Source organism: Homo sapiens, chromosome 5, assembly GCF_000001405.40.
Source record: "Homo sapiens chromosome 5, GRCh38.p14 Primary Assembly".
NCBI classification, from domain to species: domain Eukaryota; kingdom Metazoa; phylum Chordata; class Mammalia; order Primates; family Hominidae; genus Homo; species Homo sapiens.
In genome coordinates, this window is record NC_000005.10 from 26460862 (window position 1) to 26479933 (window position 19072).

Here is a 19072-nt window from a genome sequence, read left to right on the forward strand (position 1 = left end):
ATGATTTTAATGACAATATAAAACCATTGATATTGTTAACATTTCAGCCACTTAGGAGGAAGGATTCTATTAGTGTGTGGAGAAGAATAGGGCAATTTCCCCTGTCAGGGTAGATGTGCCCAACTCTTGCATTTAGCTACTGGTGCAGATTAGCTGGTATATGTGCCTGGAAACTCCTTACCATAAATGTTTTCATTTTTTTCAGGCTTTGTTGGAAACTCAAATAATCCATTCCATTCAGTAGATTTAAAAGTTAGTGATGCATCTTCTGAACATTAATTCTAAGGATATATGCCAATATAATTAACCAGGTTTCTAGCAGTATTATTCTATAACACAATTCAGCTATTTAAAAGGATACTCCATTTATTTCTACAATTAATATATTATGTTTATTGAGTTATCTTGCAAGTAAATTGATACCTCTCTACAGTCATGAAAAACTTAGAAAGTTTTCCAGTGACAAGGAAATTGGTCTTACAAAAAGATTTTTCTCCCGTGTTACCCAATTCTTGTGTTAGACTTATAGGCTGGTTCAGAACCGTTAATAATACCCAAGAACTGAAATCTTGGTACCTTTCCTTAAGCCTTACACTGCCTAACCATCCACTTAGCCACTTCCACTGGGTCTATTTTTCCATATTTTACTTATAAGATTTTCTCACATGAATTTATCTCATCATTTGCCTCATATCAAGGATGAGTAGAGAGTAATTCGTTCACCAGATACTCATGATATTTTTTCACCCCAGCTTTTTTTTTTCTAAAAAGTGCCTTAGCCATTATGATTTATGAGTCTGAGAAGTGTTCTTGTTCACAATGCCAACATTAACTAACACAAAAATTAAATGGTCAAATCTGACAGAAATCATAGATCTTATCTAGTATTATATTTTACTATGAAGCTGAAGAATACAATCATGCAAGAAGCATAAGCAAAGGTGGGAGAGGTCTACCACATCCTGTGTGGCTTCTGTGGTACCTCATTCTCATATTGGATGCATTCCCTGTGGCCTATTTTATGGAGGAATTCACTAAGTGCCATTTGTATGTCACCACATTCAACAGGGAGAGTTGAGGTTATGAAGCTTCTTTTTTTGATACCCAGATGATTTCAGTGATTGTGTGACATTTTTCAGGGAGTTATGCCTAATAAATCCATGGATTTTGTTTTGTTTATTATACACAATCCTAAATGGTGGTCATACTGCTAAGACAAATCCATAGATAATACTCTCCTTCTAGCAAATATCAGTAGTTTGTTTACCAGAAGATCAAGATAGTAGTATATTTACAAGGAGATAAGATCAAGTCACCATTTTTCCCCTATGGCATCTTTCCCCAGCAACTTTTCCTTGTAATTTGGAGATAAATGGATTCCAGACCAGCTGCTTAACTTCTTTCCCCTAAAACTCAGCATGGGTTTAGGTTATTCTGTAAATCTAAAATCTAGAAATTAACAGGAAACATTAGAAAATTGACAGAAATTAAATTTAAACTGATATTCCTAAATCCAAATAATACGTTTTCTATAGACAAGATAATTTATGTTCAAATATAAATACAATAAAATTGCTTCACAAAATTATTTTTCCAAAAAGAAATCACGTAGTTTTTTTTACTAGTATTTATATATCTTTGTTTTCTATTTAAAGTCGTATTTTATCTTATTTTATTTTTTTTACATTTAGTTCCATTTGAGTCTATATGGTGTATGTGGCTGGCAAAAATTCAGTTTCATTGTTAAATGGCTCCCTTTGTCCCTATTATCTTTTATAAAATAGTCTTAATGCCATTGATTTGAAATAATCTGTATTTCTAGTCTATTCCATTGGTTTTAATATTTGCTCATAAAAAATACAAAAACTTTTTTTTGAGATAGGGTCTTGTCATGTTGCCAAGGCTGAAGTGCAGTGGCTATTCACAGGTGCAATCATATTACACTGTACCTCAAACTCCCTGCCTCAGGAAATCCTCCCACCTCAGCCTCATGAGTAGCTACCCATAAGTAAGCACTACAGGTGTACACCACCACACCTGGCTTCCAAATAATTTTTATTATGGGGTATATTATAGTCTACTTGGATTGCTATAACAAAGGCTGGATGACATCAACAACAACAAAAAATTTTCTTTTCTCAGTTCTGTAAGTTGGAAAGTCCAGTATAAAGGTGCTAGTCGATTTAATTACTGATGATGCCTTTCTCCCTGGCTGCAGATGCCACCTTCTCACTATGGCCTCACATCATCTTTCCTGAGTGTATGTAAACATGCATACACAAATACACACACACAGAGTACTTTGTTAACTCTTCTTACGAGGACAAAAATTCCATCTAATCAGGTCCCTATCCTTATCAACTCATTTAACCTTAATGACTTTCATAAATGTCCAATCTCCAAACATACTCACACTGAAGTTTAAGGCCTTGACATATTAATTTTTGAGAAACACAAATATTTTGCTTATAACATGAGGTATGTATTATATATGTATATTTTATTATCTAGTAGAGATGCTACCAAGCGCTTATTGTAACACATTTGATATGGTTTGGCCCTGTGTCCCCACCCAAATTTCATGTGGAATTGTAATCCTCATGTTGAGGGAGGAATCTGAGGTAGGTGATTGGATCATTGAGGTGGTCTTCCCTCATGATGTTCTTTTAATAGTGTGAGTTAGTTCCCATGGGATCTGATGGTTTTAAAGTGTGTAGCAATTCCTCCTTCTTTTTCTCTCTCCTGCCTCCATGTGGAGATGTACTTGCCTCCCCTTCATCTTCTGCCATGATTGTGAGTTTCCTGAGGCCTCCCCTGCCATGCCTTCTGTATAGACTGAGGAAATGTGAGTCAAGTAAATTTCTTTTCTTCATGAATTACCAGGTTTCAAGTAGTTCTTTATAGCAATGTGAGAATGGACTAATACAACATTATTTTAGTTATTCTTGCTGTATTCATATATTTTCTCATATGAATACTATAATCAATTTCTCTCATCCATAAAAAGCATAGGTTTATAATCAATTAAGTGTAAATAACATAACCAATAAAGCATTTCATATATTTGTATGTACAGTTGATCGTTGAACAACACATGTTTGAACTGTGAAGGTATACTTTCATGGGGATTTTCTCCTGCCTCTGCCACTACTGATACAGCTAGGCTGACCCCTTCTCTTCTTCAGCCTACTCGACATGAAGATGATGAGAATGAAGACCTTTATGATGATCTACTTTCACTTAATGAATAGTAAATGTATTTTCTCTTCTTATGATTTTCTTAATGACATCTTATTTTCTCTGTCATAGTTTATTGTAAGAATGTAGTATATAATACATATAACATAAAAAATACATGTTAATCTACTGACTATAAGTTATCAGTAACGTTTCCAATCAACATTAAGCTATTAGGAGTTAAATTTGGGTGGAGTCAAAAATTTGACTCAGATTTTTAACCAGGAATTGCAGGGGATGGGTCACACTCCTAACCCCCACGTTGTTCAAGGGATTAGGAGCATGTTGTATCTACATTTATATGTGGTTGTTTTTCTATCTCAGATGTTTAACCATGAATCGCATGGGGCAAGTAAGTGCTCCCAACCCCCATGTTTTTCAAATGAGTTAGGAGCACTTTGTATTTACATTTATATGTGGCTGCTTTTCTATAATAAAAATACAACTTCTACTATAGTTTGAATATATCCCCCAAAACTCATGTGTTGTAAACCTAATCCCCAATGCAATAGTGTTGCAAGTTAAAGCCTGATGCGAAGTGATTAGAATATGAAGGCTCCTTCCTCACGAATGGAAATACTATTGTCTCAGGGGTGGTTTTATCATGGGAGTGGGTTCCTTAAAAATAATGAGTTTGGCCATTTTGTCTTTCTCTTTTACCCTGTTTCCCCTTTTGTCATGGGATGACAAAGCATGAAGACCCTCACCAGATACCAGCAATTTGATATTGAACTTTCCTTAGAACTGTGAGAAACAATTATTTTGTAAGTTACCCAGTCTATGATATTCTGTTATAACAGCACAAAATGAGCTCAGACACTTCTGGTCCAGGAGAAGTGGACATTTTTAAAAGAAAACTTGTATTGAATCATTTTTTAAAAGGTCACAGTAGGAACTGCAAAGTAAAATTAAGAAAATACAGTTTATGGTCAAAACAAAATAAAAGAGACATTAATAATAATAAAAAGGACTTTCCATTCTCAGGCATTTTAAGTCAAAGGCAAAATAAAAATAAAAAGTTACATTAAAATAATGTAAATGAAATAATACATCTTAGAATTTATGACATACAATAGAGAGTACTGTTTAACATTTCTGTAAACAAAATTTTAAAATAAGAAATTAATCAAATAATCACTTAAAATACTTGAAACTTCAACAAAGTAAAGCAAAAGAAAGCAGAAATTGAAGATAGTATAAAATTCAAAAATTAATAAGTTAAAATGCCCATAAAATTGAACTGCTTAAGGAATAAACATTATAAATATGTTTTTCAATATCCAAAATTGACACACCACTCACTAACCTAATGATGAAATAAGAAGAATTGTAAATGTAAGAAACTATAAAGGAGAAATAATCACTGGAATAAAAATAATTTAAAATATATACAGGAGGTATTTATTTCTAAATTTGTGTAAATAATTTTTAAAATATTTTGAAGATATAATTTCTTAGAAAATACTGTTTCTCCAAATTACCCCAAATTAACATTTTAATAAATCAATTTCCGAGAAAAGAATAGAGAAAATATTTTAAAAACCAGCCCACAAAAATGCAACAGTTCCCAGGAATTGTACCAAACATTCAAAATCCCTAATGCTGTGCTCTAACTTAGTTTAAGACATATAAAATGCTATGCCTATCTTGTTCTGAGATATTCATGGAAATGATTCTTCAACAAAACAAAGCAAACAAAACATAAATCATTAAATAATCAAAGAAAAGCCAAAAGCTCCTTCTAGAGTACTTGGAATCATAATCTTATCATGAGAAAAAAAAATGATGTTCACTATTTGGGAGTACAACTAAAAATAATAATATTTGAATACTAGTAAAGAATTTCAAGGAATATTAAAAATAAATGTAAATTATTTTTAGTAGTTTGGAGCCTTAATTCTACTTTTAAGTTATTGCATCACATAAAGACAAACACACACAGAGATGCATACAATAACAGTTCACACCTATACACAACACAAGTACACAATTCACAATTCAGGAAGAAACAATTCACATGTCTTAGAGTGAACAATATCAAACAATGCCAAATAAAATTTTGAGTGTTTCAGTAAATAGCATTATCAGTTAAAGAATATAAAATACAAAATCAATGTTTTGTTTCTCTGAAATCTAAATACATGAACAAAAGACAAGATAATATACAATACAAGATAGATTTGTATATAAGACAAATAGTAAATTTAAAAATAAAAACAAAATATGGAAAGTAAAATTTGAATTGATTTACACAGCAACTTGTACACAGAGAAAAATTAAATTACCCAGCTTAAATGCATATCTGAAGAAATTATATGGAATTAAGTTGGAATACAAAATATAGCAACTATTTTAAAAAATTAATAGTTACATAGATTAAAATTAAAAGTTATAAGATACATCTAATCTTGAGTTGCAGACAGAAGGAGTAGAGATGTGGGGAGGTAGTGCTCAAATAAATAATGTCTTAAAATTTTCCAAAAATATTAAAGTAAGGCATCCTTAACTCCAGAATCACAATAAATTATAGACAAGGAAGTACAAGAAATACACACTTAAATACAGGAAAATAAAAGTCAAAACCTTATGTAAAACAGAATACCTCATAAACAGCTAATGAGAAAGATGACATCAAACAGAATGCCAATTGCACTACTGATAGATTCCTCACCTCAGCAATGAAGTAGCTTATCTTTACAGTCTCAAAACAAATGAATTGTACATTGAGTTGAATTTTCTGTAAAGTTTTTTTTTAGTTACAAAATAAAGATATATTCAAAAAACAAAACTTCAAAGTTTGACACATCAACATTCACTAAAAGAAACTTCTAAATTATGTCAACGTATTTTCAGTGGCTCTTGACATAAATTTAGCCCACTTCCGATTTCAATTGTACTCCTATTGAAAAATTCCCTGGGTAGTCACATTGGCTTGACAGTTGCAACCCTTGGCACTAGACTTAACTGCTCTCTGCTTTCTTCTTTCGGGCATTTTCTGTGGAGTTTTCTGCATGTACAGGCAAACACAGCCAGAAATGAGTATCTTCAGAGCCAAACCTCAATCAAGAGAAATGGAAGCTTATAGACGAATGACGAGACAGTTCTGGGAGGACTTCTGCAATCTCAGTAGCAATTGTGACCCTTTCCTAACTCTCTTGGCTCCTTCAATCCTATTTTAGGGGATAGTGTCCCAAACTGCTTATACACTCCCCCTTTCTCAAGCTCTAATTTTGGAGGCCTCAAAATTAAAATGGCTTGAGTTATTAATCTGTAATAATACATATGTCTAAACTGGAAAACTGTAATATCCCCAGAATTACCATTTGGGGGTAGGATTTACTTCTTGAACCTAATTCTTTTTGTTTTGAAGCAGCTATGTTGAGAGAAAATTGAATTCCTACCAATTCCCTCAGTTACATGAGTTCAAACTCCCCATGAAAGTTTTGGATGTACTTAACTGCAACCTTTGTGAGGACACCTATCGGGAGCACAATTTCACCTGAGTCCAGGGTAATACAATGGCCTCTCTCAAAGAAGACTTAAAGAGTAGCTAAGATGTTGCTACATAGAGAACATTTATTTCCTAATTCAGCTTCTTGGAAACAAATAAGCCTCACTGTGGTTGCCACTAGAAAACTCAGCAAGAATTCTGCTAGATGGAGTGTTTTAAGTTGGAACCATTTACGAGTTGTTCGTCATATTTCCATTTTTTTCTTCCGAGAATGGGCTACTAAAAAATGGCCACTCAATCTAGAGAAATATTCATCTTACAAACAAAATGTTGACTTCATATGTGTGATAGTTAATATTATATATCAACCTGACTGAGCCATTGGGTGTCCAGATATTTGGTCAAACCTTATTCTCGGTATTTGGGGAGAAGAGTAACATTTTAAATCAGTAAACTCAATAAAACATTGCAATTTATAACGTGGGTGGTCCTCATCCAATTAGTTAAAGGCCTAAATAGACTTTTAAAAAAATGTCTGACTCTCCTGTGAATAAGAGAGCACTCCTCTGCCTGGCTGCTTGAGGTGAGACATCTGTCTTACCTTGACTTCAGAATAGAACTGAAATATGGCTGGGCGCGGTGGCTCACGCCTGTAATCCCAGCACTTTGGGAGGCCGAGGCGGGTGGATCACGAGGTCCGGAGATCGAGACCATCATGGCTAACAGGGTGAAACCCCGTCTCTACTAAAAATACAAAAAATTAGCCGGGCGTGGTGGCGGGTGCCTGTAGTCTCAGCTACTTGGGAGGCTGAGGCAGGAGAAAGGTGTGAACCCGGGAGGCGGAGCTTGCAGTGAACCGAGATTGCACCACGGCACTCCAGCCTGGGCGACAGAGCGAGACTCCATCTCCAAAGGAAAAAAAAAAAAGAACTGAAATATTTGTTCTTCGACTTCAAACCTTCCAACTGCATTATTGTCTCCGCAGCTTGCCAACTGCAGAGCTTATGTCTCCTCAGCCTCCAAAATTGCAATTGCATATCCATTTCTTAAGTCCGTGTATGTTTGTGTGTGTCTGTGTGTGCATGTGTGTATACGGCTGGTTCTGTTTCTCTGGAGAACCCTAAGTAATACTGATTTTGGTACCAAGAAGTGGGGGTACTTCTGTAACAGATATCTAAACATGTGGAAGGAACGTTGAAACTGGGTAATGGGTAGAGGCTGGAAGAGTTTTAAGGTGAGGCTAGAAATATGGATATAAAGGAGAATTTTTGTGAAACCTCAGAAGGTAATGAGGATCATGTTATTCAAAACAATAGGAAAGGTGATCCTTGTTGTAAAGTGGCAAAGATCTTGAATGAACTATGTTCTAGTGTTTTGTGAAGGTAAAAGTTGTGACCAAATGATTAAATTGGACATTTAGCTAAATAAGTTTCCAAGCAAAGTGTTAAAAGAGCACCTTTGTTCCTCCTAACTACTTATAGTAAAATGAAAAAGGGGAAAGATAATTTGAAAATAAAATTGTTAAACAGAAAGTAACCAAAACCTGAAGTTTTCAAAAATTTTCAGCCTATGCATATTGGAGAAAATGAGAAAGTGTGTTTTTAGTTTGAAGGGAACATTGTGGGTGTGGCTGAACAACCATTTGGTAAAGACATCCTGGGTGCAACTCAGGGACCGAAACATTGATCTCAGCAGAAGCCAGGAGTAGAGCCGAGACTCTATTCTACTACTAAAAGCATTGCCAGGTGAAACTAAAGGGGACAGACAAAGTAAGACCCAACAAAGGGAGGCCATTGACTTTCCTGGATTCTGTAAGACCAGATCATGAAGCTATTTATTTGGATTCAAATGTGTGCTACTCTTTAATAAAAGAAAATAATAACCTTGAAGTGACTGAGAGGTCATCAGGGCTGCCATTCCCACCACAATCCCAAGGGCAAGACTATTTTCTCCCTGGTTTCAGAGGGCAAGACCTTTGCAGAGAGTCAAAATGTGGGATCCCCTCTCAGTACCATTGGGGTGATGCTGCCACACCAGTGAGCCTGAAGGGTAGAGTATTCAACCAAAGAGAATTATTATTAAGCCTTAATCTTTAATGAAATTTGCTTTACTATGTTTTAGAGTTACTTGGAATCCATCAGCCTTTTCTTTCTTCCAGGTTTTCCCTTTTGGAATGAAAATATTTGTTTTATGTCTGTCCACCTTTGTATTTTGGAAGCACCACAACTTGTCTTGTTTCACAGCTAGAGATGAATTTTTCCTCAGAATGAATTATACCCAGACTTTTACCCTTATGTTATTTACATGATATATAGATGAGAAATTGAACTTCAGACTTTAGACTTGATACTGAAAGAAGGTAAGACTTTAGGGTTGTTTGGGATGGTATTATATGAATGTATTTTGCATGTCAGAAAAACATGAATTTTGTCAGGGCCAGGGGCACAATGTTATGGACTGAATTTTGTCTGTTTTAAATTCACATGTTCAAGCCCTAACCCCCATGTGAATATACCAAAGATAGGGGCTCTAAAGAGGTGATTAAGATTAAATTACATTTTAAGGGTGGAGCTCTGATCTGACAGAACATTTGCCTTTATAAGAAGAGAATGATACAGCAGAGCGCTCGCTCTTCAAGTGCATTTTCTGGGGAAAGTACATGTGAGGAAATAGCAAAAGGTGGCTTTCTGCAAGCCAGGAAGAGAGCCCTCACCAAGAACAAACACCTTGATCTTAGACTTCCCAGCCTCTAGAACTGAGAGAAAAAAATAATCAGTTAAGTCACACAGTCTGTAGTATTTTGTTATGGCAGCTCAAGTAAACTAAGCTGATGGGTTTTATAGCCACATGAATCCCCACCTCTGGTATCCAAGAAACCTCTGCCTGGGTGCATTATGATAGTCATGATGAGGAGTAGAAGAGTTACTCAAAAATAGCAGTTAAATATATGAGGGGCCTTGAATACTACTGGAAATTACTAATGTTAATATAAACTATCACTGTCAGTTTCAGTGGGTGTCAGGAACTCCTGTAATTAGGAGGATTTGACAGTTGATGGGGAAACTGCTGGTAGTCCTAGCCATAGAGGGTCTGATTTGGGAAATGTTTGTCAAATGTGTCTACATCTGTCAGGAAAGACTGCTATCAAGAACAGCCTGTAGAACAAAGCATATTCTGTACCTTCAATTCTAGAGAAAAAGTGATTGAATAATGAAGGTATTAAAATGCTGAGGACTGGAGAATGTTTAATTTGTAAAAGTTAACATTTTGGTGATGTGGTAAGTCCATTGAAATATCTGAAGCAGTCCATCACAGAGAAGGTGTTAACAGTGTTCTACTGTTTCTCAAGGAATACGATTAGAATACATGGGCACAAACTTCAGGAAGACAAATAATTGCTCAGTACAATAACTTTTTAATTTTTTTAACTTGCAAAGCTGTCCAAAATTGAATGACATTTTGAAATAACTTTAGGCTTTCAGAAAAGTTGACAACATGTACAGAACTCTGTACATTTTTTTCACCAAGATTTCCCAGTGTTAACATTTTGCAATATCAGAGTACAGTGATAAAAATCAATAACTAAATAAATGAATACATAAATAAATAAAATTAACGTTGGTAGAATCTACTAAACTACTGACTTTATTTTAATTTCACCTGCTTTCTCCACTGAAGTCTTTTTTCTGTTACAGGATCTAATTTAGAATACAATGCATTGCATTTTCTTTCTATGAGCAAATGACTTTCAATATCTGTTAAAGCCTTATTATGTTGTTACTCAAGACACAAATTAATACTTTTTTGGTGTTAGCTTTATCTGTCATTATAATAATTACACATTAGTTAGTTACAACTATTTTGTAATAAGTCAAGTTAAAATTCATTTGGATAGATCACTTTGGAGTTTTGAGTAAATGGCATATTCAAATTGCTACAAAAGATATTGGCAAGAACCTACTTATGCACAGTTCTCCAAGATGCTATATTTCGGATGAGACCATAGTGATTGAAATATTAATAGTAAGGAAGTACCCATGCACAAAACCTTGCATGAGTCTAAATATATACCACCAGAAATTGGACTTTAAATCCTAATTTTATGCATCTTGAAGAATATAAACGTGTTTTATACTTCTGCTTAACAACTAGTCAGACTGTTAACTACACCTGACTCAGGCAATTATGGGTGATACAGATAGGTGGGGAAGTTTATTAAATATCCTGCTGATAATATATTTTTAAAATCTTTATTCTTTAATGGTTATTATCAAACATTTCTGTCCAAGAACTTGAATTGTTCATTTGTCACCAATCCTATAGATTTAAATATCATTGCCTTTTAATCAGTGTCCTTGTTGGGTAGATGGAAGTACATAGAGCATGGAAGACACTTAAAATACAGAATTCGTGCAATATGCCTTGAAATTCCTAATGCCCATTTGAATTGAAAATGTTAGATTTGGAGTTGTTTGTCTTGTTTATGTCATTTTAATTTTTCCTTAAATTGGAATGATTGTGCTTTCATGATCAGGGAACAAACTAGTTCTGCAGAATAAAAGATGTGAACTCTATAATTCAGAATCATTATTTTCTTATTTTCCCCCCACATGATTTACATACGTATGATTGTTCCAGAGAATTTAGGGAAGTCTCTACTCTTCCTAAAGTTTCCTCTTGTCTTTTTTGTTTACACATTCTGGGTCATGATATGTCTATTGCCATTTCAGTGGTGGCAATGCTATCAACCGAAGCAAGAGGACATATCAAGATGAAACTGAGAATCATGGAGTGACATGGCCATTGGGCTCAGCCACTCATATCCATGTAGAGAGCTGTTTTCTAGTCATTCTACTTTGATAAGTCTGTGTTCTGTTCAAATGATTTCTGTTATAATAGTTATTTGGCTATTATAACATTGACATTGAGGTAGACTTAGCTAAAAGTTGATCATGAAAAAAATACTGAGAAGAGTATAGTTTTCTCTTATTTAAATAGTCATAACTTTTAAAATATAGTCTGGCTGGGCGTAGTGGCTCATGCCTGTAATCCCAGCACTTTGGGAGGCCGAAGCAGGCGGATCACCTGAGGTAGGGAGTTCAAGACCAGCCTGACCAACATGGAGAAACCCGTCTCTAATAAAAGTACAAAATTAGCCCGGCATAGTGGTGCATGCCTGTAATCTCAGCTACTTGGGAGGCTGAGGCGGGAGAATCACTTGAACCTGGGAGGCAGAGGTTGTGGTGAGCCGAAATCACGCCATCACACTCCAGCCTGGTGACAGAGTGAGACTCCGTCAAAAAAAAAAAAAAGTCTGATTAGAAGCATGTTAAGATTTTCTAAATAACTTTTATTGAAAAGGAAAATATAATTGAACCAAAGATAACCAGATTCCACACTGACTGGATCTTACATGAAAGTATCCTTGTAGAAGTTAAACTCCCAATGTTTTCTATAAAAATCTTGAGCGAAATAGAGTTCTTAGGCTCTAGCCCTGTTCTGATGCATAGAAGATGTAGAGGAGAAAATTATTACTATTATTATTATTATTATTATTATTTGAAACGTAATCTCATTCTGTTGCCCAGGCTGGAGTGCAATGGCATGATCTCTGCCCACTGCAACTTCCGCTTCCCGGGTTCGAGTGATTCTCCTGCCTCAGCCTCCTGAGTAGCTGGGATTACAGGCGTGCACCACCATGCCCAGCTAATTTTTGTATTTTTAGTAGAGACGAGGTTTCACCATGTTGGCCAGGCTGGTCTCGAACTCCTGACCTCAAGTGATCCACCCATCTTGGCCTCCCAAACTGTCGGGATTACAGGTGTGAGCCACCATGCTCGGCCTATAGAGAAAATTATACAGGGTCAGAGTTCTCCAGAACTGCTGTAGTTTACACACTGAACTATAAATATTTCTTGCCCTATTACTGTGAGAATAAAGACAGGAGATCAGTTGTTTATAGATGCCTTTAATTATTTATTACTTAAAATAAATAACCTTCTAATATTTTAGTTGATGTCCACAAGTAGTCTCTCTCCAAAGAGAGACTAAGGTGTTTTTGACAAATTTTTCACCTGATTTATTCAGGCCCACCTAGGATAATCTCCCTTCCAATTGAGTAAATCAGATCATTCAGTATATCTTCCAAATTTAAATCACCTGACTGGGGCCTTCAGTGGACAAAGTGTGTCTCCCCAAAATTTATATGTCAAAAATCCTACACCTGTAATGTGAGGGTATTAAGAAGTAGAGCCTTGGGATGTGATTAGGTAATGATCATAGAGCCCTTATAAAAGATGTAAGTATCCATATAAAAAGAACCTCAGGAGATCTTTTCCCGCTTTACTGCATCTGAAGATACATTGAAAGGCCAACAATCTGTAATCCAAAAAACAATCCTCATCAGAACCTGACCATGCTGATACTCTGATATGAGACTTATCTCTCCAGAACCCATGAAAAATACATTTCTCTTGTTTATAACTTATCCAGTCTAAGTCATATTTGGTCAGAAAATAGAACAAAGACAAATATTTTATTTACAAGTGTAAAATTTCTTCCAGAAGCACATAGGTTAATGTTTGATTAATTAGGAAATGCAGTTCAGCCTAATTAACTTGATATATCAAAAAGCCATCACTCTGAGATACAGTTTTTAGAAAATGTAACATGTGTTATATAACTGATATAAAATGGAGATGTTCATGATTAAGATGGTCTTTCTTTGTAAGTGGAAAGACCACATGCATTGCTTGAAGACCTTATGTATTAAATCTAATGTAATAAGAAGGAACCTGCGGTTTTACACTGATAATCCCAGAATTATGAAAACTTCCTCCTAGTCTCTTGATTACCTGTACCCTTGAAATGATTGACAAAATTTGACATTAAGATATCTGATTTTTGTAAGTTGATCTAACAATCTAACCCTAAGTTATCTCAGTTTTGTGAATTTATATAAACTAAGTTTAGTAAGGGGGCAGTGATATAAAATAATAGAAAAATATACTAGTTGGACACTTACTTTTGGCACTTCCAGGTCTTCTTACTTGGCCCTGCTTTCATCCTCCAGCCAGCAAATGAGGAAATCAGATACCACACAGCTCAGGAGCATAAGGAGCTAAGAAATTCTGGAAGATATATAAATTGGGCCCCCAAAGAGAAGATTTTCCCCAAATTCTCTCCGTAGTTGTGCATTTGCCTTAATCACATAATAACTATACTCAATACCTTAATAAGTTGTAAATCATATGGTTGATATTATTATGAAGACCAAAAGGAAATTAAACATTTTAAACACTAAAATTTTTGAATTGAGGACTAAAAATAATATTCACATATTTTGCCCAATATTATTTTCTAATAAACAGAAGATAGTCATAGAAACCATTTTGTTTAAGGGCCTTTGATCTGTAAGAAATTTAATGACATTCGATAAAGCAGATAGTTGTACACCTTAGCTATTGTATAAGGATATTTATATATACTACTTCATGCCCGCGACGTGGAACAATTACCCAAACTTTAAGGCCTTGGATCCAAATCTTCAAGTTGACCTTCCATATTTCTTCATTAAACAATATGATCTTATAACTAGGTATGTTACTTAACTTCTATCTAAGATGTTCAAATAAACCCATTCTCAAGAGTGATTTAAGACATAAGATGCATATTTATATCCTTTAGTTTCCAAATTTTGAAGGCCGAGGGAATTTTAAGGGTTGGTAATACAACTTTTTTTTGACAGATCCATTTACTTTCTCATTACCAATTACTTCTGTGAGATAATTTACTCCTAATATGGCATCCTTATGCATAATCACAAGCTCCTCTGTGCTTCTGTTTTCTTGGCAATGGAGTTAGAGTTAGCAACTTCTTCCAAAAGTAGTCATCTGAAACCACAGCTTAAAGGCTCCCATATTTTCATTTTGTATGTCTTCTGGACAGTTCTTGAGCCCCTTTGTCTTCTCATAAAACAGTTCTAGCTGAAGGATCCTGATTTGATAGGTCTCTGTGGTGAATACTGGAACTATAATACCTCACTTCTTCTCCAAAGCTGTTCATTAAGATAATAGCTTTTTAAGAAACTAGAAAATGATCTATTATTAAACTCCATGTATGTGCCTTCTTTCTCTATACCACTTCTCCAGTTCTGTTCTTCCTAAAATTTGCCTGTACTGTTGAAATAGTTTTTCAGAGGTCCACATAAAAACCTCCATTTTGAAGATTTGTTAGAAGGACTCATGAGACTCAGGATATAATTGTACTCATGGCTAAGGTTTATTATAAAGACTGAGTAGGAATACATACCCAGATCATAAGGGAAAAAGACATGAGTGGATTCTGGAGGAAGCAGATGACCTTATGCTGCCTGCTTCCTGAGAGTGGCCATACAGAGCACATTCTTCCTTAATCAGTGAAAATGCAGTAACAGGGGTTGGATGGTTTTTCCTAGGGAACCCATTAGAGACTCAATGCTAAGGTTTTGAAAGGCTGTGAGGGGAGGAGCCAAGATGGCTGAATAGGAACAGCTCCGGTCTATAGCTCCCAGCATGAGCGACGCAGAAGACGGGTGATTTCTGCATTTCCATCTCAGGTACCGGGTTCATCTCACTAGGGAGTGCCAGACAGTGGGCGCAGGTCAGTGGGTGCACGCACCGTGCGCGAGCCGAAGCAGGGCGAGGCATTGCCTCACTTGGGGTCAGGGAGTTCCCTTTCCTAGTCAAAGAAAGGGGTGATGGACGGCACCTGGAAAATCGGATCACTCCCACCCGAATACTGCGCTTTTCCAACGGGCTTAAAAAACAGCGCACCACGAGATTATATCCTGCACCTGGCTGGGCGGAGGGGTCCTACGCCCACGGAGTCTCGCTGATTGCTAGCATAGCAGTCTGAGATCAAACTGCAAGGCAGCAGCGAGGCTGGGGGAGGGGCGCCCGCCATTGCCCAGGCTTGCTTAGGTAAACAAAGCAGCCAGGAAGCTCCAACTGGGTGGAGCCCACCACAGCTCAAGGAGGCCTGCCTGCCTCTGTAGGCTCCACCTCTGGGGGCAGGGCACAGACAAAGAAAAAGACAGCAGTAACCTCTGCAGACTTAAATGTCCCTGTCTGACAGCTTTGAAGAGAGCAGTGGTTCTCCCAGCATGCAGCTGGAGATCTGAGAACAGGCAGACTGCCTCCTCAAGTGGGTCCCTGACCTCTGACCCCCGAGCAGCCTAACTAGGAGGCACCCCCAAGCAGGGGCACACTGACACCTCACACGGCAGGGTACTCCAACAGACCTGCAGCTGAGGGTTCTGTCTGTTAGAAGGAAAACTAACAAACAGAAAGGACATCCACACCAAAAACCCATCTGTACATCACCATCATCAAAGACCAAAAGTAGATAAAACCACAAAGATGGGGAAAAAACAGAACAGAAAAACTGGAAACTCTAAAAACCAGAGCGCCTCTCCTCCTCCAAAGGAACGCAGTTCCTCACCAGCAACAGAACAAAGCTGGACAGAGAATGACTTTGACGAGCTGAGAGAAGAAGGCTTCAGACGATCAAATTACTCTGAGCTACAGGAGGACATTCAAACCAAAGGCAAAGAAGTTGAAAACTTTGAAAAAAATTTAGAAGAATGTATAACTAGAATAACCAATACAGAGAAGTGCTTAAAGGAGCTGATGGAGCTGAAAACCAAGGCTCGAGAACTACGTGAAGAATGCAGAAGCCTCAGGAGCCGATGCGATCAACTGGAAGAAAGGGTATCAGTGATGGAAGATGAAATGAATGAAATGAAGCGAGAAGGGAAGTTTAGAGAAAAAAGAATAAAAAGAAATGAGCAAAGCCTCCAAGAAATATGGGACTATGTGAAAAGACCAAATCTACGTCTGATTGGTGTACCTGAAAGTGATGGGGAGAATGGAACCAAGTTGGAAAACACTCTGCAGGATATTATCCAGGAGAACATCCCCAATCTAGCAAGGCAGGCCAACGTTCAGATTCAGGAAATACAGAGAATGCCACAAAGATACTCCTCGAGAAGAGCAACTCCAAGACAAATAATTGTCAGATTCACCAAAGTTGAAATGAAGAAAAAAATGTTAAGGGCAGCCAGAGAGAAAGGTCGGGTTACCCTCAAAGGGAAGCCCATCAGACTAACAGCGGATCTCTCGGCAGAAACCCTACAAGCCAGAAGAGAGTGGGGGCCAATATTCAACATTCTTAAAGAAAAGAATTTTCAACCCAGAATTTCATATCCAGCCAAACTAAGCTTCATAAGTGAAGGAGAAATAAAATACTTTACAGACAAGCAAATGCTGAGAGATTTTGTCACCACCAGGCCTGCCCTAAAAGAGGTCCTGAAGGAAGCGCTAAACATGGAAAGGAACAACTGGTACCAGCCGCTGCAAAATCATGCCAAAATGTAAAGACCATCGAGACTAGGAAGAAACTGCATCAACTAACGAGCAAAATCACCAGCTAACATCATAATGACAGGATCAAATTCACACATAACAATATTAACTTTAAATGTAAATGGACTAAATGCTCCAATTAAAAGACACAGACTGGCAAATTGGATAGTCAAGACCCATCAGTGTGCTGTATTCAGGAAACCCATCTCACGTGCAGAGACACACATAGGCTCAAAATAAAAGCATGGAGGAAGATCTACCAAGCAAATGGAAAACAAAAAAAGGCAGGGGTTGCAATCCTAGTCTCTGATAAAACAGACTTTACACCAACAAAGATCAAAGAGACAAAGAAGACCATTACATAATGGTAAAGGGATCAATTCAACAAGAAGAGCTAACTATCCTAAATATATGTGCACCCAATACAGGAGCACCCAGATTCATAAAGCAAGTCCTGAGTGACCTACAAAGAGACTTAGACTCCCACACATTAATAATGGGAGACTTTAACACTGCACTGTCAACATTAGACAGATCAATGAGACAGAAAGTCAACAAGGATACCCAGGAATTGAACTCAGCTCTGCACCAAGCGGACCTAATAGACATCTACAGAACTCTCCACCCCAAATCAACAGAATATACATTTTTTTCAGCATCACACCACACCTATTCCAAAATTGACCACATAGTTGGAAGTAAAGCTCTCCTTAGCAAATGTAAAAGAACAGAAATTATAACAAACTATCTCTCAGACCACAGTGCAATCAAACTAGAACTCAGGATTAAGAATCTCACTCAAAACTGCTCAACTACATGGAAACTGAACAACATGCTCCTGAATGACTACTGGGTACATAAGGAAATGAAGGCAGAAATAAAGATGTTCTTTGAAACCAACGAGAACAAAGACACAACATACCAGAATCTCTGGGACGCATTCAAAGCAGTGTGTAGAGGGAAATTTATAGCACTAAATGCTCACAAGAGAAAGCAGGAAAGATCCAAAATTGACACCCTAACATCACAATTAAAAGAACTAGAAAAGCAAGAGCTAACACATTCAAAAGCTAGCAGAATGAAAGAAATAACTAAAATCAGAGCAGAACTGAAGGAAATAGAGACACAAAACACCCTTCAAAAAAATAATGAATCCAGGAGCTGGTTTTTTGAAAGGATCAACAAAATAGATAGACCGCTAGCAAGACTAATAAAGAAAAAAAGAGAGAAGAATCAAATAGACGCAATAAAAAATGACAAAGGGGATATCACCACCGATCCCACAGAAATACAAACTACCATCAGAGAATACTACAAACACCTCTACGCAAATAAACTAGAAAATCTAGAAGAAATGGATAAATTCCTCGACACAGACACTCTTCCAAGACTAAACCAGGAAGAAGTTGAATCTCTGAATAGACCAATAACAGGAGCTTAAATTGTGGCAATAATCAATAGCTTACCAACCAAAAAGAGTCCAGGACCAGATGGATTCACAGCTGAATTCTACCAGAGGTACAAGGAGGAACTGGTACCATTCCTTCTGAAACTATTCCAATCAATAGAAAAAGAGGGAATCCTCCCTAACTCATTTTATGAGGCCAGCATCATCCTGATACCAAAGCCGGGCAGAGACACAACCAAAAAAGAGAATTTTAGATCAATATCCTTGATGAACATTGATGCAAAAATCCTCAATAAAATACTGGCAAACCGAATCCAGCAGCACATCAAAAAGCTTATCCACCATGATCAAGTGGGCTTCATCCCTGGGATGCAAGGCTGGTTCAATATACGCAAATCAATAAATGTAATCCAGCACATAAACAGAGCCAAAGACAAAAACTGCATGATTATCTCAATAGATGCAGAAAAGGCCTTTGACAAAATTCAACAACCCTTCATGCTAAAAACTCTCAATAAATTAGGTATTGATGGGACGTATTTCAAAATAATAAGAGCTATCTATGACAAACCC

The 19072-nt window shown here is 36.7% G+C and overlaps 1 annotated feature.

The window, feature by feature from the left end:
- Positions 15509 to 16046: an enhancer, noted in NCBI's record as "H3K27ac-H3K4me1 hESC enhancer chr5:26476479-26477016 (GRCh37/hg19 assembly coordinates)". NCBI's record gives its function as "activates a minimal SCP1, AML or CMV promoter by ChIP-STARR-seq in naive H9 embryonic stem cells {active_cell/tissue: H9 hESC(naive)}" and the evidence as "EXISTENCE:reporter gene assay evidence [ECO:0000049][PMID:30033119]".